This window comes from Homo sapiens, chromosome 12 (genome assembly GCF_000001405.40).
Source record: "Homo sapiens chromosome 12, GRCh38.p14 Primary Assembly".
NCBI classification, from domain to species: domain Eukaryota; kingdom Metazoa; phylum Chordata; class Mammalia; order Primates; family Hominidae; genus Homo; species Homo sapiens.
This window is the reverse complement of record NC_000012.12, coordinates 38662427-38686992: the sequence shown is the minus strand read 5'-3', so window position 1 is coordinate 38686992 and position 24566 is coordinate 38662427. Positions and strand designations below refer to the sequence as shown.

The following is a 24566-nucleotide window of genomic DNA, read 5'->3' as shown; positions in this document are numbered from 1 at the left end:
CTTCCTGAAGTGGAGGCTATCTTCTTTTTCTCAAGTGTGAACTAGACTTAGTAACTCATTTCTAGAAAATGGATTAAAGTAGGAGTAATGATGTGTAACTTCTGAGACTGGCTCATAAAAGGCATTGGGGCTTTGTCCTTGCCCTTTCTCTGGGATCACTCAATCTGGGGAAAGTTAGCTGCCATGTTATGAGAACACTCAAGCAGCCCTGTGGAGAGTCCATTTGGCCTCCTGCCAACAGCCATGTAAGTGAGCCTTTTTGGAAATAGATCCTTCTGTCCACTGTCAAGCTTTCAGATGACTGCAGCCCAGGTCGGCATCTTCAATGCAACCTCATGAGAGATCCTGCTCAGGAACCACCGTGCTGAGCTGCTTCTGGATTCCTGAGACTTCAAAAATGTGTGAGATAATAAATGTTCATTGCTTTAAGCCACTATACAGAGGGTATAACTTTGGGGGTAATTTGTTACATAGCAATAGATAACTAATACATGGTCTTGTGTTATTTGTGTAATTTGGACTAGGAGAATTAAACCTAATAATGACAGGGCATTTAAGGTGTGAAAAAGCCAGCCTAGGTGTTCAGGTTAAAGTTGCCTCAGGTCCTGTCCCCAGAATAAGAGCTTGGGTTAAAGTTGCCTTTCTGGGCGCTGTTCCCAGAATAAGAGCTTCTTAACAACAAGCTCCATTTCCCTTTAATGACCTGGATTTTTTTTTTATTCCTTTCCTTTTGCCTTGTCTTGATATTCCCCACACCAAATTATATTCCCTCTGACTCCTTCTCTACTTGGAGTTATCAATTGTGGCCTGAAAATGTTCATGTGGCAGATATTTTACATTTTTTCTGCTGTCAGGTAAAATTGTTTGAATTGATAGCATTTATTTCTTCTAATTTTAATACATGTTCACTGCAGAAAAATTGGAAAAATAGAGAATAGGTTAAAGGATGAAAGTAAAGTTATCAGTTATCTAACCACCCAGAGGTAGCCACTATTAATACGTTGGTTTTCTTCTTTTTAGGATTTCTATATGTTTATCTCCACATGTACCCAAACCTGTGTAAATTAAGATACTATTAATTTTAGGCTGTTGTGGTGTTCAACTTCTTATTTAAAATTTTCTTCTGCCATTTTTTAAGAGTATAGATTTTTAATGATTGTACATTATATCATGTTATTATCTACATAATATATCATAATCGATTGTTGATCACTTACTTAATGTATTATTTTTTTGCTATTGTAAATTTATGAATAAGAGTTCCTCAAAAAATATGAGTGTCAACGTGTATTATTCTCATCTCTTTCAATTGATCTTCATGGAGATTTACTTTTTTACTGTTGTTTTGTTTTGTTTTGCCTATAAATTTCTACAGAATGGGAATCCTCAAAACCCCTACTGTGATGGCATTGAGGGGGTCATGGAGGCTTATTACAGGAGTCTGAAATCTGTACAACTATATGGGCCCACCAACTTTGCTCCTGTAATTAATCATGTAGCAAGGTAAGTAGAGAGTAGACAAGGTGCTTATTCTGATGTACTGGAACATGGTGAACTCATAACATTGTTGCTAGCATGACTCCACACATGAAAGTTGTTTTCTTCTAGTTTACCTCCAAGAAAGTGGGGAAAAAATGTATGTTAGAAAGAGTCTCTATCAAACGATCATGATACTTTGCTGAGAACTGTACATTAAAATATCAAGTGAAGAAACATTTGCTGGGTTATGTTAGGAACTATCTTTGTTCAACTAAGGAAAACATTTTCTTAGGAAAAGGCATCCATGAGGAAAATAACAAGATCAATGGTGATGCCAACTGTGTAAATCATTCTTATCTAATATCACATTCCATAATAGTAATAAGTAGCATAGAAGTAGTAAGAGACTGAATTCTATTAGATGACTACTTGAAGCTGTCAACGACATATAGGGCACATTATTTTAATCTCTCTGAAATGAATATAGTAGCTAATTTATAAATTCCCAGAGCTCTACCTGTATATGGTACATAGTACTGAGATCAGAATATAATTGCTTATTACTCCAAGTACATGTTCTGAAGAAAATGTTAAAATGTTAAAAATAAATCTATACATACTTATCATTTTTTCGTTAGTACATAAATGAATTAGACAACACTTTTTAAATCCCTAGAAAGTTTGGCCTATGTAAATCCTATGACACCCTGAATTATTTTGAGATAATTAGAAATTGCATATCCTTTCAAATATGTAGCCAGAACTTGAAAAAAATTATGTATTTTGGTCAGTTTATCAAGTACAAAGGCAATGTGAAACCCCAGTTCTCTGAAGGTTCTAGTACTTTACCATCTTCCCTAATGAATATTACCGGCAACTTCAGTGTGCTCTACTTTTCATTATCTGGGACACGGACAAAATGCTAAAATATCCCTTGCACCCAGGGCTGACCCCAGTGCAACTTCCCTGTGGAACTCCAACTCAGGTTGACAGTGATACATTGATGACTTTTCTCTGAGTGTGACCCTTCGGCTTGAATTTTTCGGACAAAATCATCTGCAATCTCTACTAAAATATGAATTTTATTAATATATATTAACCCTGTACATACACAACCCCCCAAAAAAGTTACTCATGAAATGGTACTTAGTCTTACCTGTTTTATCTTTATTTCTATGGCACCTGTTCTTCTCTATTTCTCTTTTCTTAAATACAATCTTGGCCCCCAAAATTGATCTCACAATCCATTAATGGGTCATTACTTGCAATCTGAAAAACATATCCTAGCTTATTATACTAGCCGATGTAAGTAATGTCATATATACTATATATTGATGGCAGTCAAATAAAGCAGAATATAATACCATGCTAATGCAAGATAAATTATAATTGATGGCCACACTACCCTGCAGATCACTTTTTTATAAAAAGATAAGAGAAAAATGACAAGAATTCTTTTGTATGAACTCATGCTGGTTATTAGAAATGTGTTCATCAATGCTTACCAAGTAATTTCATAATTTTTTCTGGTATATATTTATAGTAAAAGTTAAAGTGATAGATATAAAATATCTAGGTGCATTTCTATATACATTTAAAATCAAAGGCTCCACAGTGTTCTATTGCGATTTTTTGTTTTATCTATCATTTTGTAAGTTCTTGAATATAGGAGCACCTGCTAGTGAAAGCTTTCAGACTCCTTGAAAATAAACTATGATCTAATAATTCTTTATTATTTTTTACATGAGAAAATTAAGAAAAACAGTAAGAGATGGCTATTTAAGAGTCATCTTTTCCTTCCAATACAATATAGGAAGTTCCATGTATACATTTCTTAGTATAAGACCACAAAAGAAATGCTTTTATCCTTTCATCTTTGAATTTTATGTTTAATTGTATTTTTAAGCTTGTATTGAGACAGACAATTTCTGTCTGACCCAAAATTATCATTCAAAAAGTTTAACAACTAAGCAGACGAGGTACTATTTTTTTCTCTATTAAGAGAAGCGCCATAGTTATAGTGTGTGTGACCTCCATTTATGTAAAATTCTTGCTTTATATAACTCTTAAAAGCTTATCAACAGTACTTAGCATCATACCTATTATGTAGGAGGTAAGTATTCAACAAATGTCTAAAACACAAATTCTGTATATGTTAATATATTATCATTAAAAATTATTTTTAGCAATGTCAAAACAAATATATATTCATACTTTTTATATTGGCTTGATATTATTTTCCTTAAGTATATTTTCTATGTGGGTAAAAGCTCAGTATTTATTGTCATTTTCTAGAAGCATTTTAAAGAATGCTTACTCTTTTTAAGAATAACAATTTTAAGCACGTTTATTTTTAGGATTCATATCTATGTATCTCTGATCTGTTTGACTTTTTAGGTAATATTAATGAGGTAACAATATTGTAAAATAGACAAGACTCAAAGCATCAAATTTATAAAATTTGAAGGTTTTATATGCTTTTTTTTGAGGCTTTCCAGCCCCTGCTTCTGATTTCTTGCCTTTCCAGTCCTCCTTTTCCAGTGCTCTCTGGGGAACAGCATTTCAAATGATGTAAAATCCTACTCAACATCTGTTGATGCCTTGTCATAAATTTAAGTGCAGACGGTTTAGCTTGGCATTCAAGAACATCCAGTATTCAACCAGCACTCACCCATCCAACCTCATTTCCACATTCTCTCAAATGTACTGCACTTCAGTCACAGAGAATCTCTGCTTCTTCTGGTCTATGATATCATTCCATGCATGTGTCTATTACTAATTTGATACTACTCTGTGGTTACATGTAGATCTTTTCCACATTGAAGGGAGGAATTATTCATTGTGACATTCATATACATGCACATATATACATATAAAAATAAAAGCCACAGTACTTTGGATATACTGAGATATCTGTACCCATTTGTTTAATTAAATTATCTGAATACCACATGAGGTTTTGTTTGTTTGCTCTGTCGCCCAGGCTGGAGTGCAGTGGGATGATCTCGGCTCACTGCAACCTCTGCTTCCCAGGTTCAAGCAATTCTCCTGCCTCAGCCTCCCAAGTAGCTGGGATTATAGGTACCCGCCACCATGCCTGGCTAATTTTTGTATATTTAGTAGAGACAGGATTTTGCCATGTTGGCCAGTCTGGTCACAAACTCTTGACCTCAGGCGATCCGCCCGCCTTGGCCTCCCAAAGTGCTGGGATTATAGGCGTAAGCCACCACGCCTGGCTGAGTTCATTTTAATTAACAAAGTTATAATAGGAAACTAAAGAACCTTTTTGGTTTTGAGACAGAATCTCTCTCTGTCACTCAGGCTGGAGTGTAGTGATGCGATGTCAGCTCATTGCAAACTCCACCTCCCAGGTTCAAGCAATTCTTGTGCCTCAGCCTCCCGAGTAGCTGGGAATACTGGTATGTGCCACCACACCTGGCTAATTTTTGTATCTTTAGAAGAGACGGGGTTTCGCCTTGTTGGCCAGGCTGGTCTCCAACTCCTGGCTTAAGTGATCCACCCGCCTCAGCCTCCCAAAGTGCTGGGATTACTGGCATGAGCCACTGGGCCCAGCCTAAATACTCTTTTAAATGATAATGCTTAGCCAATCTTAATGACCTATGGAAATGTGATTGTGATTAACACCTACTGTATCAGTCAGGGTTCTCCAGAGAACAGAACCAACAGGAGACATATAGACATGGACATAGATAAAATATAGAGATATATTTTAAGGAATTGGCTCATGTAATTGTAAGGGATAGCAAGAATGTAATTTGTAGGACAGGTTGGTAGATTGGAAACTCAGGTAGGATTTCATACTGCAGCCTTACGTGAGTATTCCTTTTTTTCTGGGAAACCAGTTTTTGCTCTTAAAGCCTTCAACTAATTGGATGAAGCTCCTTTACTTAAAGTCATTTGATGGTAGGTGTTAACCATATCTATAATCTTTGATTAAATAAGTGGGATTTATAGTCTAGTTGACACATAAGCATCATCATCCTACCTACTAAAACAAAGAAATATATTGCCATTATGTTGTAAATTGACAACAAATTTAAATTCTGAGAAATAATTTTAGGTTCTTGCAGATATGAACTTAATACTATGTTGAATGTCTAAAATACTATGTTTAAATCTTATTAATCACAATAGAAAGAAAAATATTTTTAAAATAATGGTTTTTGTGGAATGCAGTTTGAATAAAATGGAGTTTTAAGCATCCCCTGATTAATCTGTTTCCTCTTGTATATGGTGTAAACCATCTTTACATTCCTGTTCTTATCATTTAAAAAAAATTTCTATTCATCTAGAATTCTTCATCAATAATTTTAAGTAATTTGAAATAAATTTAATTTGTTGGTATATTATACCAGCTTAATATTTCAAAAATAAACTAATATACTAATGAAAATTTCAAGTATCTTTTCAGACTATTATGAAAATTTCTTCACTCGATTTAAATATATTCATTATTTCCTATTAGTCTTTTGTTTCCTGTGCCTAATGAGTTACTTGTTTTGAGGCTGTCACATTTCAATTTTAAGGGGGATCTATCAGTTTCTATCTTTTGGCTATTTGTAATTTTTTTCTGTTTTTTTCTGATATTGAGAACCTTCTAAAATCCAGATAACTATCCAAAATGAATTTTCATTTTTTAGGAAATAACTTTTTATTTTGGAATTCTTATAACTAATTTTCAAATTAAATAATGTATTATGCTTTATTTATTCAATCTTACAATCAATAATAAAATAAAAACTGTTCTTATGGAGCCCATGATCTATCTCTAACAACATGTTCAGTGCTATAATATGGATTATCTATTCATCTTCACAACAACTCTAAGAGGTGACAGTAGTGTCATTTCCATTTTGCTGATGATAAAATAGATACATAGAGTGATCATTTGTGGTAGAGCTAAAATTCAAACTGGAATAATCTGACTCCAAATCACTATATTTTGATGCCTTACATCTTTAAGCCTTTTTATCTCTGCTACAGAGGTAAAGTCACACAAAAGAAAATGCAACAAAGCTACCTATCTATGTGGATACAGTGATCACTTCATTGCCCAGTCAAAAGTAGTTTGGGGTGACACTTAGTAACATAAAATTTGCTCTGCTACTTTGTGTTGAAATATTTTAATGTATTCCTTTATTCATTGTTAAGAAGTTTTAATCCATTTTGCAAATCATAATTGAACTACTTAAATAAAACATCCCTAAGTCAGTTTCTTATCTTATATTCTTGCCCTCTCTATTCTTGTGAACTAATAATAAGCTGAAAGAATATTCCACGAATCTGAGCCAACCAGATATGAACTTTTATAGAAATAATCCCAGAAACTTATTTCAAAGAAATGCAAAAGAAATGTGTTTGAATTGTACTGCCCTGACAAAGTTAACCTCTCTTTCAGATATATCATAGTAATATTAAGATATAAATTATAGATAGGCTATATTTCAAAAAAGACAGCTGGCTTTTAGTAATAAGACTTAATTATGCAATTTATAAAAGGATTCCCCATCAAGTTCTTTTAAGAAGCAAGCTTCTCTAATACCTTTAAAATATAATTTGAATCTGTGAGTCTATATATCAGTGTCACCTCCTAGAAAAAGTATTGAGGTGTGGCCAGCTTATAATTTTTACTTCATCCATTTCTGTAGCATGTTAATTATTTTATCTTAAATATATAATATTTTTAAAATAACTAAATGAGAAGAAATGATAATACTTTAAAATAAAAGGCTAAGTAGAATAAATGGTAATACAACATTGATTTTGTTTGAAATTTAGATTTACTTTCAAAGTGCAACAATGTGCCAACGTGTAGAACAAGTGCCAAAGAAGCAACAACTGGTTTTAAAAGATTAATTTGTGGTGCCGAAGGTGATAAAGACTAAAATGGATTGGACAGAACTTAAAAGTAAAATGTAATTGATTTTCAAATTACATATGCCTAGCAGTAGTGACAGTCACACAATAAACTCATGCAACTTTCTACAGCTTTAATGGTTTTCAAAGTGAAGAGATATAAAATATTAATACAAGCATGTATTTATCATAAAGTATAAAATTTCTATGAATTTTTAAGATAAAACAAACTTCAGCGAAATTCCAAGTTTACTATGATCTGCTTTAGGCTGTATCTATAACTCTCTTATAGTGTGAATATATTCTTCTCCTTTTCTTAGGTATACATTCTGGTATATCCAAAGAAAATCAGTTAAGCCACTGGAAGCAGTATTTTATATGACTGCATAGTAGTCAGCTGTCTGTATTGTTTTTTAATCTGGTAGATATTTTACATTTTGAGAGTACCATTTGGTAAGAAAAGCATAAAAGCTATACTGTTGTACTTAAGAAGGTTTTCACTACTATTTAGAGTCTTTCATTATTCTCATGAAATATAAAACCCTATCTTTCTGAATCATAGTAAGAAATGCTTTCTTAAAAAATAATGGATATTTAAAAATTAAAAATTGAGATCCTGGGGGAAATTGTTAGACTTCTTTTCTTTAAAACAAAAAAAGTTAAACGTGGAATAGGAGAATAGGTTTATAACCGCTTTGGATTGTTTTCCACTGGTTGTGTTACTACTAAATTAATACATATTCTTTAATGTCCAGAATCAATTGTTCAGTATTATGGGGATATTTTTAATTCTATAGTACATTGTGGAACCTGTTCAACATCCTGCTTACAGGGTGTGATTGAGCATGCCACTTACTATATTTACTTTAACAATCTTTAAAATTACCAGTATTTTATTAGTAGCATGGACAAATCTTATTATCTATAGTCCATGGGGAAAGTTGTAAGTATTTTTCTTCTTTATATGTTTTTAAATTCTGCTACTCAAGAAATAAGTTGTGCCCTGACATACGTTTTATACTATTTGTTTGTCACCAACTTGTTCAAATGGGATTCATTGGGCTCCTTAAGATTGTAAAGGAATTTTCATTAATCCTTCAGGTTGTAAGGGAATTTTTACTTGATAACTTTTAGAAATACAGATCAAGATCTTCTTTACTATCCTATCTCCTAAGAGAACCAGAATGCTTACTTAGCACTGGACATGAATTGCAAAAAATCGTAAAAATTATCTCTATTGAGAATATAATCTAGATATCTAGAATGTAGAAAACTAAAGGAAAAGAGAAATGTAATGAAATGTAACATATTCATAAAATTCCCCTCTAAATTACTGAGTATTATTTGATATGTTATCATATACATAATTTTGTGCTTTGAAATAACTCTCCGTCTCATCTTTCATAGATTTAACATATATTAAGACTTGACTGTGGATGTGTCAAAAATATTTCTTCTATTGTGTAATTTTATTGAGGTGAAATTTTCATAATAAAATTCACCATTTAAACGTATACCATTCAATGACATTTAGTAAATTTGTAATGTTGCAACCATTACCTCTATGTAGTTCAAAAACCAAAAGCACTTATGATTATTGCTATCATTTATACAATGCTTATATTGAGTACCATACATGCAATTCTTCATTAATTCATGCAGCAGTATAAAGATGTAAGTGTTATTGTCTCAGTTTTAAAGCTAAGAAAATAACTTTCACATAGCTTAGGTAATTTACTGAAGATCACTTACATAATGTGTTGCTTAGTCAGGATAAGTCCATTTCCAAAAGCTATGTCCATTTCTTTGTACTAAATAGTCACTCATCTAGCACACTTTGTATTAGTAAATGAACTTTTAGGCAACTAGATATTTCTGTGTGCCAGCATGCACTAACATTGCAATTGTTCTAGTGTGTTATTTCAGATAATTGTGTATTTGAAAGTTTGCATAAGATATACCTCTAACATGTTCAAATATTTTATTGAGATTAAAATGTTTGTTAACTATTCCAAATTGTATTTACCAACCATCACATATAGAAAACTGTTTTACTTTCCTTACCTTTTCGTTGCCTTTCAGATATGCTTCTTCTGTAAAGGATGGCTCCCAGTATTTTGTGCTTCTGATTGTTACAGATGGTGTTATCTCAGATATGGCCCAGACTAAGGAGTCCATAGTTAATGTAAGTGGGGGTCACTCCGTATTGGGCTCGCTACGTGACAACATGGTGCTACTTAGAGAGAGACTAGAGTCTATTCTAGTTAACAATAAAATAAAATCACCACACCTTTGCAGCAGATTGCATCCTTAACCTTATCCAGACAACTCATATACATCTGTACCACTGATCCAGGGGGATCAAGCTAAGGGATATTAATTATTTTAGTTAAAAAAAATTTTTGCCTAAAGAAAAAAAAAGATAATAGCATAATTTTCACAGGCATGGGTTTGTTAACCTCTATTAGTTTGATGTATTTGTGTACAATCTTGTGATTTATACTGGTTATTTCTTAACATTTACATTCCAGTTAGAGGAGAACTATGATAGCTAATTGCTATTTCTGTAGAACTGGATAGTGACTGATTGATTAAAAAACCATCCTGCTCATTATAATTCCTAATTGTATGTTTTTTTTTTAGGGTTATTTGATTGTTTACTAATCTATAAAATCTATGTTTACTAGATGGTAATTTGTAAAGTCTCTAGGTTTAGCAATGTTTGGCACGAAGTAGACATTTGATAAATACAGGCTGCAGGAATGAGTGGCATTAATATGCACTTTAAAATATGGACTTGGTAATTTAGGTTTAACTAAGAAGACATGATGCCCTGAGGAATAATCAGTCATATTTCAGTGATCTTCATAGCGAAAGATGTGATTGCTCTAGTGTTCCATCTATCTATTGCTGGATCAATCTCACATTCTTACTATTAAATTATTTAAGTGATGATATGTGATATATTATATGGAAAAAACATGTTATAACATGAAATATTTAGTCTCCCTCAAAATCTCAAGGATATTTAGTGCATAACAGTACTAACTTTCTGTAATGATCATTTGTATTCACTCATTTACTGTGAAAATTGCTTTTTCTAACCTTGGGTATAAATGAGGTAGATTATGGTACTACTACTATTTTATGAATCTGTTACCACTTTCCCCCTTTAGCAACTGAAATATTTTTGGAGGAGAAAGAACATGAAAAGAGGAAAAAGATACCCAAAGTCAGCTTAGAAAGGTTTTGTCTGAGAGTAGAAAGTGGAAGTAGATGCTCCTTACCTTCTATTTGATCTTACCCAGGGCTGGTCATTTCCGAAGAATGTCCCACTGGATTAATGTGTGCAGAGAGTTTGGAAAGGATAAGAATGGAATCAAGTATATTATTCTGTATTAACAATTTTGAATATGCTCACAAATTATTTTAATGAACATCTGTGAAAAAATATTAAATAAAACTCTGGTTATATTTGCTTCTTAATTATTATTTTTTCTTTTTTAATTTTTTTTTTTTTTTAGACAGGCTCTCACCCTGTTGCCCAGGCTGGAGTGCAGTGGCACGATCATAGCTCACTGCAGCCTCAAATTCCTAGGCCCAGGTGATCCCTCCACCTCAGACTCCCAAGTAGCTAGGACTTCAGGCACACACCACCACACCTGGCTAATTATTTTTTGGTGTAGATGGGGTCTCACTATGTTGCCCAGGCTGTTCTCAAACTCCTGGCCTCAAGCAATCCTCCTTCTTTGGCCTCCCACAGTGCTGGGATTTCAAGAGTGAGATATCATGCCTGGCCTTTAATTATTTTCTTAAGAACTCAATTTCTTAATTGAAACCTAATTGTATATTCTCTTTGAAGGCCTCAAAACTTCCAATGTCAATAATTATAGTAGGTGTTGGACCAGCAGAATTTGATGGTGAGTAGTAAAATTTCAATAATATTCCTTGGGAGTTCATTTAATCTAATGTAACATGCTCTTGGGTTTCTGCCATTCTTGTCTCTTTAGAAGGATGTGACTGTGTATTTGGGTTTGTATATAATGTTCATGTGTCCATAATTAGACATATACATAGATAGCTCATGATGATGTCTATTCAGGTGTGCCAATTAAAAGATCCTGTCTTTTCACTAGGATATTATCTCTCTAGTTTATAGATTATTTCAACATGTAGCTTTCTATTTCATTAGAGGTAGTTTGTACCTCAAAATAATATCTCCTAAGACTGACAGAGTGATAAATTGAGTTTTTGTTCCCAAGGCAAAACACACTCTGTGTTCACTAAAACCCTTTAAGGATGAGTGCTAAATTAATAAATCATTAGGTTGTGAAAAGAAATGTTAACATAAGCATAATATGCTAATTTAATGGGTTTTCGGGCTCTAGCTAGTTGATAGACATTAGCCTTATAAATAAAGAAGTTGTGTCATATGAAAGAGAAAAGTAAAATGAAAATGGAGCTGACCAGCTGAAATTTAATGAGACTTTATATAATTATGCTAAATTGGCATACTGGGTAGTTTTTCATTCAGGCTCAAGGCTTGTTCAAATGCCCATTAAGAGACAAATGTTTGTGTAACGAGTGATCTGGGTAAATGTTCGTAGTCATCTGATAAATTCCTTTAAGAGAACTTTGTGCTAGACAGCAAGTACACAGCCACATAATATTCACCTGGTTCAGGTGTTTTATATTAACAATGGCAGCTTATTTAGCTTGAGGCTTTGGAAATGAGAATGGTTTTAGAATGTTTGACACAATCTTTGTAAGTTACTGGTTAACTTAAGCACATAGGTGGCTAACTAGATTGTAATTATCACTGAGGTGATTCTTATTTAACCACCAGTCCCTCCTGCATGAGAATAATAAAGAGCTGTCAGTCTCAGGTAAAGCACCACAGGCAAGTTGTATTGCTGACCCTGGAATCCCTAAATTCTAATCTTGGCTGGTCATCCTTTCTAGCATGATAATCTTACAGTTTCAAAAGCAAGTCATTTATCCCTCACCAACACTGCTTCTCCTGTTATTTTCTCTATCTCTATTAGCATCTACTTGAGTTGTACTTCGGGCATGAATTTCAGATACCTCTCTGGAGACAGGAAGGCTAAGACATCTTTCCTCTCCATGCTTTGCACACTTGATAATCTGCATTAACTAGTGATAGACTGTGATTCACAAACTTCACCAATTGGTAGGCTAAAATAACTCATGCTTTCTTCTTTGGCTACTATTTGCTTTTGACTTTGAAGGATGTATCTTTCATGGGTATATCTCAGGTCTCTCAGACTCCTATGGAAGTCCACCTTTAGGCATATGACCTCAGAGATGGTAAACCTCAATCAGTTCTTTTTCTTTGAGAGCTCCCACACCTGATTCATAAATGCAAAGCCACTGACCCTTCCTGGCATATATTTCTGGTAACACATTTCTATACAGAGCAGCAGGCACAGCCGTTTTGCTACTGCCCTTATCCAATAGCCACAGCTATTTATTTTCTTCGTTTCTTTAGTTCCCAGCAAATTTGTTAGGGTTTTAAGGTATGATAATTCATCATTTTCTCTCTGTGAGGTCCTGAACTAACTGGAAAAAAATATATGCAAGAATCATTCGGATCACTCTATCAGCTTTATTACTAGCAATGCAGAATTTGAGAACTTGGGTTAACCTGTGGACAATCACATTCCCATTACTTTTTCCCTCCAAAATTAAATTATCTCATTCTTATCTCCAGGACTTCTCCTTATAGAGGCGGAGTTTTGCCTATTAAGCATGCCACCGAGAGAAATTATACTTATCCTCAGGATAGTGCTGCTCCAAATGAGAGTGATTCAAGCTCAGTTATTTCTCCTAATCTTAGTAATCCTATTCCTCTTTCCATGCAGAAAGGTAAATGAAGATTGTAGATGAAAAGGGAAGTTGCCTTCCCAGAAGTTAGAGTGAAATTTTCCTCTGGAAACATGGGAACAGGGAATTAGGCTCCTGTAACACCTGGTTTCTGTTTTCACCATGATGGAAGTTCTAATGGGATAGAAAAACTTCTGGGCCCAGTACTAGAAAAGTAGATTATTCTGCTAGGCGACAACAGGTGCTTCTCTAAAATATTTTTCCTTTTTTCCTTTCAAAACACATCTCTTCATGGCTTAAAAAAAATTTCTATATTAAACTCATGTTTAATATAGAAAAATCTCTGACTAGTCAAATTGTTGCTCTCCTATCAGAGGAGCCTCTCATGACACTTCCAAATCTACTCTAGAGTAAGTGTATATATCACACATATGAACTGACTGACCTAAATCCAACTGGCAAATTGTATTAGTCTGTTTTCACACTGCTATAAAGAAATGAGACTGGGTAATTTATAAAGGAAAGAGGTCTAATTGACTCACAGTTCCACATGGCTGGGAAGGCCTCAGAAAACTTAGAATCATGGTGGAAGGGGAAACAGTCATATCCTACATGGTGGCAGGAGAGAGAGAGAGCATGTGAGAGGGCAGGAAAGAGGGCCATTTATAAAACCATAAGATCTTGTGAGAATTCACTCACTATCACGAGAACAGCATGGGGGAACCACCCCCATAATCCAGTCACTTCCCTCCCTCTACATGTGGGGATTACAGGTCCCTCCCTCAACACATGGGAATTACAATTTTAGATGAGATTTGGGTGGGGACACAGAGCCAAACCATATCACAGATTTCATCAGCTAACCACATAAAGCCAACATCTACACATTTTTTAACCTGAAAGACATTGTTTCCATGGGCAAGAAATACAATATGTTGCCATCTGTCCTTTGAAGGTACAGGAAATAAGAATAGACTATTAGATTATTTAAATTTAACTCTGTATTTTGATAAGACCATTTTAAAACTATCTACATAAATTTCCCCAGTGACTCTTTTTCAGTACTAAAAAAGAACCTTTATTATAAAGAAAGATTTCTCAAAGCAAGATTTCTTTATACTTAAAAGGCAGCCAAAAAGTCAAATTAAAGCAGCATCTGGCTATCTGCTTTGATTCGAGTTAGACGAAGGGGATAAATAAAAGGGTTTCTAACTTCATTGTGTCTCCCATGGCTAGAAAGAAATGCAAATCTGTCTCATACACCTTTCCAGGAAGAGGTAATGGTGGGAGACTGGGGTTCATAATCTCCACCTGCTTGAGGACCAGATGGTCTGCACACCTGAAGAGTAGACCTGACCCCTCCACCACTTACACACCATCTCTCTTCTTGCTCTCAAAAGCACAGCCTCCACTTCTTGCTGTCTACAGTGTTTTAAACCAGACATGCTGAAAAGTGGGAGATATTTTATAGGACTTCATGCTAATACAGTATTGCCTAAATGACTGTCCTTTTCTTCATTAATTGGAATGAAACACAAAGACCAATGGGGATTGTAGAAGACTGTGGAAAGTGAGACCTAGATTATCATCTAATTCTTGTTTCCCATTTTAGCATGTGTATAGGGTAATTGTTGTAAATTATTAACATATTAGAGAATAATGGAGAAGTGTTTGTGACCACTGAGTGTTACCATTGGTGCATATTTATGTCCCAAAGTAATGTGAAAATTGTAAAAGCAAATTTAGATATAAAAAGTATTATTTACTGAAAGTATTTGAACATAATGAGTTATATTTACATATCCAAGAAGTAAGGGAGATTAAAAAATGTCTTCTGCATTGGGATAATTATCTTATTATTGGTAATATACAGATTTTACATAATTATGATATATATTGTACACCTTGACAAATTATTGAACAGTAGCTCTCTGTTAATTATGTATACTAGCAGCGTTTCAGCCCAAGCATTGACTCATGAACATGTGTAGAAAGGTAAAATTGAAAACAATGTTTTCAACCCAAATGCATTATCTAAGCACTGAAGAAAAGAGTAAAGAAGTGAGGATTGTATGCTGACTGAGCAGTATTGGGGCCAGGGAGATGGGTGATGAGGCCAAAATTATAATTGTAAGCGGCTCTCTGGAGTCTGGTGAATGTCATGTGTATACAAAATGAATTATCAGTAATAGAATTATACTTTAAGCACAAATTAGCATTCCTCATGTAATTAATTATTTAGAGAATTCTCACTGAAAACTTAATAAACCCTAGAAAATGTTCTTAATTGCAGCACTGCATTACTGTATCACCAGCTGTCCCATTATATCCCAGCATTTCCAAATACCAGCTGATCTAGGAAATGTCAAAATTATTTCTTAATCAACAAAAAAATTGTACTTCAGAAAAATCATACTTTATCCAATCAGTATAAGAGCAGAGAAAATGCCTCTGTTGTTAAATCTATTTGTAAAGTAAAAATCAGGCAGTGTGTGTGTATGCGTGTGTGTGTGTATGTGTATGGCTTTGCTGTAGTTTCAATGAAAATAAAGTTCAACTTGTAATTGAAAATTCTATGATGATTAAGGCCAAGCTTCTTAAATTAGAAAGAAAAATTAAAATTTGATGGATTAACATCACTTGCTCAATCAGTCATGCAACCATATAACCCGAAGTTTAGAACTGGTAGAATGGAGAGATGATAGACCCAGAGACAGTTTCACAGGGTCTACAAAGAGATAGACCCAGAGACTGGCTCTGCTCACCTTTCAAAGAGTCACAAAAGATCTTGGTTCACTTTCTTTGTCTGTAAAATGCACACTTAATCAAGTTTTGTATGAGAAATGAATGAAGACATGAAGGGATCAACATGCTTTCTGTCTTTTCATAGCACATTTTGCTACTTCATACATCTTGATTTCCTTGTTGTCCACATTGTTTTAGTATTTGGCTAAAATGTACTGAATAAATGATCATATTTTCTCTTAAAGCAATGGTCGAATTGGATGGAGATGATGTAAGAGTCTCCTCTAGAGGAAAATATGCTGAAAGAGACATTGTGCAGGTAAGAAATAAACCTTTTCCTACTTTACTATTGCTAGAAAATATCATTGGGATCTTTAACAAAATTAGAAGCTAGAAATATAACAGACTTTTTAATGATGCTTTTCTATTTGTTAGTCTCAACAAAAACTAAATATATTTTAATCTGGTAGATACTCAGAGTGAATAAATTTAGTAAAAATATACCAAAAACTTTGTATGTATTTTCATGCTTCCCTCATACATTATGGTTAGAAAAAATAGAGAAATAGATCCTAAAATATGTCATATATTAAAAAATTACATCTACATATAGAAAAGGCTAGAATTAAGAAAAATACTTAAGTAAAGCGTATTACTCTGGAAGTGAATATAAACAACCAGTAATTAAATGTAGTTCAAATTATAATTGAAAGCAAGGCGTTAATTCAACTTAATAGTTGCATAAAATTTCCATATTTTTAGGATGTCAGAAAAAAAGCTGTGAAGTATATCTTTTTGGATAGGAAAAGGAAGAAGGTCTCAGTACCATTTAAGCACATGGTATCAAAATTTTAAGGGAGCAAACAATGAACTTTAATATTATTTCCTAAATAGTAACATATATATTCACCCATAATACAGTCATTAATAGAAAATAATTTGTGATTGTAAGAATTAAAGAAAGAGGAGAGAAACACAAAGGGTGGCTCGACAGTCAACAGGTTTTCAAACCTGGGAGGGACTTTTGACTGAATTAGATCAGAAACTGCACTCTCTTACAGGCCACGAGTTTTTAAGGATTCTGAGTGGGAGAGTTTATCAGAGGCTTGTACTGCTTCTGTGTCTCTTTGTTGTGCTTACCTGGGAGGGAGAGTTGTGTGTCTGTTCCCATACATCTTTCTGCAACTGCAGGCATATCCCCCGAGTCTGCTTTTAGCTTCCCTATCTTAGCACACATGAAGGGAAAGGAATATGCTTACCAAGGCCCACTGTTTTACTGGGCCCCATGTATAAGGGTAAAGTTTGGCAGTTGCCTAAGAGACTTTCCCTCCCACCTCCCTCTGTGCTCAAGCTGTCTTATCTGTGTTTTACTGTCTGCTCTTTGTGGCTGCTTGTAGTCAGAAGAGAAGTAATTTCCTTAAAATGCATGAGGCTAGAAAGGGAGCTGGAACTTAAAGTGGCCGTGTTTGCCCAAGGTGACTGTGCTCCTGCTCTATCAGGGATCATATAGAATTTGGTTCAAATTCTGACTTTTCCACTATGATAACTTGGATAAGCTTTATAGATTTCAGTGTTTTGGGGGATAAATAGAATTGTGAAGATTAAGTGAGATAATGCATATAAAATATATTCCTGAAATAGAACTCTTAGACAAAAGAACAACAAATAATACTTGAAATAATTTGAGGAAGTAATAATATAAAGTAATCTGTTAGTATGATAATATAAAGAGTAACATTGATAAAGATCAAAAATAATTATTCTTCATTAGTCAGCAAAATTAAATTTTAAAATAAAAACTTCTGTAAAATAGTTTTTTTAAAAAGATAATTGAATATGATGTAAGCTTTTCAACCTAAAGTACTTGATACAGTAAAAATCACACTCACATAAATGATTAGGTTAACAGCAGCTGGGAAAAAGAACCTGGTGATATGGTCATTTGCTTAAGAAGCTCATTATGCGTGTGTGTGTTATTTATTTTATTTTTTTTTTTGAGGCAGAGTCTCGCTGTTGCCCAGGCTGGAGTGCAGTGGTGTGATCTCGGCTCACTGCAAGCTCCGTCTCCTGGGTTAACGTCATTCTCCTGCCTCAGCCTCTCGAGTAGCTGGGACTACAGGTGCCTGCCACCATGCCCAGCTAATTTTTTTTTGTATTTTTTTAGTAGAGATGGGGTTTCACTGTGTTAGCCAGAATGGTCTCGACCTCCTGACCTTGTGATCCGCCCGCCTCGGCCTCCCAATGTGCTGGGATTATAGGCATGAGCCACCGTGCCCGGACCATTATGTGTTTTTTTCATAATTAGACACATGATTATTCACCTTAACCTCATCAGCATAATTATAGGTCTAAGTAATTACACTTTATTTAAAAGCTCTCTAGAATATTTGTTCAGTTTCCAAAAAATTGAATTACTGCATGGAAGTATGAATTTGAAGTCTTTAGAATGTTATGTTGCTGTTCTAATGCATTTTTACCAAGTTAGCAGAGGCAACCTCATATCTCATAGTTCTATTTAAATGATGCTTAAGAGAAGCTTGGTATTACTTTCTTCATTAGGAAATAGCTAAGATTACTCACATCATTAAGGTTTCCTTTCAGAAGACCAATAGGTTATGTTTGTGACAACATATTTGCATTAATAAAAATTGTCCTTGATCACGAAACTAATCAATCAATAGATATACTACATTGAACAGAATATTGAGATAGGACACCAATGATCTATGCAACTATAATTATTTAGTCACTCTGGTCTTGAACAAGTAAAAAAATTTCTCTATCTTTGTTTCATTATCTGTAGACTCCAAATTCTTTCATCTTTGCCCCTCCCATGATGTTGTGAGTCTCAGAGGAAGTAACAGACATAAAATACTTTGTTACTTACCAATAGCATAGGTATATACTAGTATAATTATATAAGTTTTTGCTTCTTGAAAGTCAGAATCCAACCGGGCACAGTGGCTCATGCCTGTAATCCCAGCACTTTGGGAGGCCAGGGCGGGAGGATCACCTGAGGTCAAGAGTTCAAGACCCGCCTGGCCAACATGGTGAAACCCCGTCTCTACTAAAAATACAAAAAATTACCAGCGTGTGGTGGCGGGCGCCTGTAATCTCAGCTACTCAGGAGGCGGAGGCAAGAGAATTGCTTGAGCCCAGGAGGTGGAGATTGCGGTGAGCCGAGATCATACCATTGCACTCCAGCCTGGACAACAAGAGCGAAACTCCGTCTCAAAAATGAAAGAAAAAAAAAAAGTCAGAATCCTTGAGAGCAGCCTATCACCATAAAGTAACATTGGGATTCCAAAGATTTTGAACACACCTGGGGATACAGGTGAACACTCAAGGGATTCTGCCATGTAAAGTTGAACTGAAGAGTAGTGAGGTCTTAACATTTACTGAACAAGAAATTAAAATGTCCCTAGGAAATTAGTAGCACCCTGAATGACAGTGGCATCTTGACTTACATTCCTGCATTGAGTTAGAGATTTGATGTACTCATTTCTACTTTCATAGAGAAGTTTCTACATGGTGGTCAGTACTTTACATATCACATTGATCATTTACATTCACATTGTGTAAAAGAATTGGCACCTCCTCTCTCACCTTGAATAAAGCTAAACCTTCTACCATCAGAGTTTTCCAGGTTCTACCAGTCACTAAACAGTTTTTAAAGCGAATTATTTTAAAGGAGAGAAACACTCTTGAATATTTAGAATAGTGGGGTTGCAAGTGTACATGCAGGATAATATTTTCAATCTTCCCCTGGTCAGAAAATATTGTAAACCAATTCTCTAAAATATTATCAGATAATAGGGTCTATTTAGGCTGTCTTACCTTTTCTCTGCTTTCCATTTCTCACTGCTTGAAGCGAATCCAGTTTATACACACAACACAATTGAAATTCCACATTTCTCAAGTGGACAAAGAAAACCCTAAGGTGGCAAATAATAGTATGTAGCTGAGGTTCAGCAGAATATTGGGGGTAGTAGATAGGGTTTTATTAGTATAGTAAATATTAAATACCTTCCTTTTTGTATAACGATATTTAACCCTTTATTAAGTGTTTCATGTGCTAGGCAGGCTAAGAGCTATAGAATTAAATCACTCAGTCCTTAATTAACTTTATGTGACAGGTACTTTGATTATTGCATTTTACAAAAAAGGACATGAAGCTAGCTCAATTCCTCTTGTCCACAGTCACCCAGCTAATTAGAAGTGAACCAGGATTTAATCCTAAAATGTCTGATTCTAAGATTCTTAACATGTATTCTGTATAATTTTGATTCTAACACCTAAACATGGCATTTAAGATTCTCCGTGACCTGACTTCAAGCTCTTCTTTAGCTAAATACACACAGAAACAGACAAACACACTGTACTTTATCTTAATAAACTAACTTCCCATCATACATTTCCATGGTTCTTGCTTTTACTTTCACTTGTCATTTACCTGGAATACTCTTCCTCCTCATCTGTGCTGATCGAAATCCTATACTTTCAAATTTCTCCACGTATAGCCTGTCACACAGCCCTCTCCAAAGACCTCACTCGCCGCACCTGGATGAATTTTCACTTTGTCCCCATATTACTTTATATCTTCCTAAAAATACCGGTCATTGTTTGTCTCATAGTTATTTACAGATAAGAAAACTGAAGCCAGCCCCAGATCAAAAGTTAAACAACTTTTGGAAAGTTATTTAGGTCATAAGTTGGTAGATCCAGATTTCCAAGAGTGTTCTGGTTCTAAAACCTGTGTTACTCCTATTATAACACACTGTCCTAAAAGACAAAATTATAAAGAAAATTATTAAGATCTATTACCCTTTTTGTATTACTGAAGTGGCTAATCAATTCAAGTCAGATCCATTTGAGTTCAAGTAGTGATTCTGACATACTCAGAGCTGATCCTGGATAAGTTAATTAAACTTTCTAAGTTTCAGTTTCCTCTTACGTGCATTAAAAGTATATAAGATATTTGTGAATATTAAATGACATATTGTGCTAAATCGCCTAGCAGAAGACCTCCCAACTACCAGTTGCTCAATAAATGCGTTATTATCAGTACAGTACATTGGTACAGTCCAGTAGGAAGGCATTTTTTTTGTCATTATTTCATAGTAGCTGTGCCCTAACATAAGAAAATAAGTTACTTAAGTTTTAGAATAATAACCATCCTGCTTACTGTTTATACTATAGTGATATGAAATTAAATATTGAGGCAATGAGACTTAATCACAAATAAAGCTTACTACCTTGTCATAAGTCAATATACGTAAAGGCTTTCTATTTGTTTGTTTATGCTGTGGATTGGCCATTGTGTATAAGGCAGTGCCATTCCGCCTGGCTGCATGTAGCTGCTGGCCAGCTTATCATTTCCTGAAAAATTATATTTAAATCATATTTTCCATTAAAAGGAGAATAATAACCTTGAGGGCTTAGACTTGAAAATCACTAATGGAGCTCTGCACAGTAGGAACAATAAAGCAAAACTGAGCAGAGCAGCAACTAAAAGCCCATTTGCCCAAATGAATTCAAACTTATTTTTACGAATAGGTAAAGCAAGCAGCTAGAGCAGTCATGTGGAACATTTTCCCTACACTTGTGGGTGCTGAAAAAAGATGTAGAGTAACAAGTATACCATACTTCCTATAGAATAAAATGCATTTATTGGTATTCTTTACATGAATGTGATAAATTAATGCAAAGTAAAAATTGATTTATTCTTCTAAACTAAATATTATAAGGGTCTAAATTACCATGTGGTCAACATGCATTCACAAATGTGTGGGAATTATTTTGGACAAAAGTTTCTCAGGTACAGGGATCAGAAATGAGAGACTAATAGAGGTAATAAACAGAGTGGCCTAAGAAGTTGAGTGGAAACCTGTAAATATAAAAGGATATGAGCAATCTTCTAAGAAAGAGGGCAATTTTGTCATGAAAATTTTAAGATTTGAAATAAGAGGTAAAGGAAATTTCTGAAGTCACTTGTCTTTTTTCTCATTTATAAAGTAACACCTTGTGACATGACTGAAGAAATAAATGTTCCTTTGGAAAAGGTTTAGTTTAGGCTAGTGACTTTTTTTTAATCCTACTCCAAATATAAGTGTGGGATGAAGGATACTCCTGTTTGATAACAGTGACTTCCTATGACAGTGGTTCTCAACCTGTGGGCAGTGCCCCCTAATGTCCAAATGGAATATCAGACTCTGTGCTCACCTAACAAACCTAAGCTAAATGTGATGTATACTCCCATCCTAGGTTGAAATTGAGGATTTCTTTTTTACCTATTATTTATAAACATGTTTTAAAGAAGAGTAGAACTGTGTGTATTGTAAGAACAGTGATGATTATGAGCCTTAGTTTTTATGTTCCACAGTGTCATAAAATTATTAAAAGTGAAATTCAGTTTACCTCAATTAAAAAACATCTGCATATCCTGTAGGACTTGCTGAAAAGGTGAAACAACAGTGTTTTAAAATTTGAAAAGTCCAGGAATTACTGTATAACTGATACTGTACTCAAATTTGAAAGAGATAAAATTAATAATAATCTTCCTTATATTTAATGTTTGATATGAATATAAATTGAAAACTATTAACAAATTGCTTTATATTGACTATATAAATGTGTAAGTTAATGAATAGAAATAGTAATTATGATAATGATGGCTTTCATATATAATACATATTACAAATTGAACTGTTACTGTTTAAGCACTTTAAGTTTTAACTTATTTAATACAAAACAATGAAATAGGTATTCTGTAATTATCCTTTTTATTTTATTATTGACATTATACATATTTATAGGGTACAGTGTGATATTTCATTACATGTATGCAATGTATAATTTTTCTATCAGGGATAGCATACCCATATCTCAGACATTTATTTTTTTGTGTTGGGCACATTCAAAATTCTGTCTTCTAGCTATTCAAAAATATTCAATAAATAATCATTAACTACGGTAACCCTACAGTGCTAGAGAACAACAGAATTTATTCCTCCTATCTAGCCGTAATTTTGTATCCATTAACCACAGTCTCCTTACCCCTCTTTCCCCACCTATCCTTCCCAGCCTATAGTAACCACTATTCTACTCTCTATTTCTATGAGATCAACTTTTTTAGCTTACACATATGAGGGAGAACATGTGGTATTTATTTTTCTGTGCCTGGCTTATTTCAGTTAACATAGTGTCCTCCGGGCTCATCCATGCTGCCGCAAGTGACAGAATTTCATTTTTTATGGCGAAATAGTATTTCATTGTGTGCATATGCTACACTTTCCTTATCCATTCCTCTGTTAATGAATGGACTTAGGTCAATGTCATATCCTGGCTATTGTGAATAATGCTGCAATAAACATGGCAATGCAGCTATTTATTTGACATACTGATTTCCTTTCATTTGGATAAATACCCAGTAGTGGGATTGCTGAAGCATATGGTAGTTCTCTTTTCCATAATGGTTGTAATAATTTACATTCCCACCAACAATGTATGAGTTCCCTTTTCTCTACATCCTTATCAATATTTGACATTTTTGTCTTTTTGGTAATAGCCATTCTAACTGGGATGAGATGATATCTCATTGTGGTTTTGATTTGCATTTCTCTGATAAATAGTGATTTTTCAGCATTTTCTCATTTATTTTTGGCCATTTGTGTGCCTTCTTTTGAGAAATATCTATTTAGGTCACTTGTCCATTTTAAAATCAGATTCTTTGTGGGGTGTTTTTGGTTTGTTTTTGTTTTTTGTTTTTTGTTTTTGTTTTTTGTTTTGCTATTGTTTGAATTCATTGCATATTCTGGATATTAATCCCTTATTAGATGAATAAAAGTTTGTCTCTTCACTCTCTTGATTACTTCCTTTGCTGTTGAGAAGATTTTAGCTTAATATAATACCATTTGTCTAGTTTTACTTTTGTTGCATAAGTTTGGAGGCCTTATTCATACAATTTTTGCCTACTCATGTCCTGATGCATTTCCCCTGTGGTTTCTTTCTAGTAGTTTCATAGTTTAGGATCTTACATTTAAGTCTTTAACCCATCTTGAGTTGATTTTTTTTATGGTGATAGATAAGGGTGTAGTTTCATTCTTCTGCATATGGATATCCAGTTATCCCAGCACCATTTAATGAAAAGGGTGTTCTTTCCCCAGTGTATGTTCTTGATGCATTTGTCAAAAATCAGTTGGCTGTAAATATGTGAATTTATTTCTGGGTTCTCTATTCTGTTCCATTGGTCTATGTGTCTGTTTTTATGCCAGTGCCTTTCTGTTTTGGTTTCTATGGCTATGTAATATATTTTGAAGTCAGGTAATGTGATACCTTCAGCTTTCTTCTTGTGGCTCAGAATTGCTTTGGCTATTTGGAGTCTTATGTGGCTCCAAACAAATTTTAGGATTGTGTTTTTCTATTTCTGTAAAGAATGTCTTGGTATTTTGACAAGTATTACTTTAAATCTGTAGATTGCTTTGGGTAGTATGGTCATTTTAACAATATTAATTATTCCAATCCATGAACATGAGATTTTTATTTTTGTGTCTTCTTAAATTTCTTTAATCAGTGGTTTATAGTTTTTATTGTAGAGATCTTTCACCTCTTTGATTAAACGT

The 24566-nt window shown here is 34.1% G+C and overlaps 1 protein-coding gene across 4 annotated transcripts in view; it reads left to right on the top strand.

Annotated features, from left to right (window-relative positions):
• CPNE8 (copine 8) overlaps nucleotides 1-24566 on the top strand; it is a 254633-nt gene that overhangs the window by 219843 nt on the left and 10224 nt on the right. For 2 of the 4 annotated variants that reach the window (XM_017018852.2, NM_153634.3), the window contains exons 16-19: nucleotides 1376-1503; nucleotides 9439-9541; nucleotides 11219-11276; nucleotides 16191-16264. In XM_017018852.2, coding sequence (XP_016874341.1) covers nucleotides 1376-1503; nucleotides 9439-9541; nucleotides 11219-11276; nucleotides 16191-16264 — 363 coding nt within the window. Of the gene's footprint in view, nucleotides 1-290; nucleotides 402-1375; nucleotides 1504-7278; nucleotides 7416-9438; nucleotides 9542-11218; nucleotides 11277-16190; nucleotides 16265-24566 lie in introns of those variants that run through there. The other 2 variants (XR_245896.5, XM_047428345.1) reach the window with 2 other exon arrangements.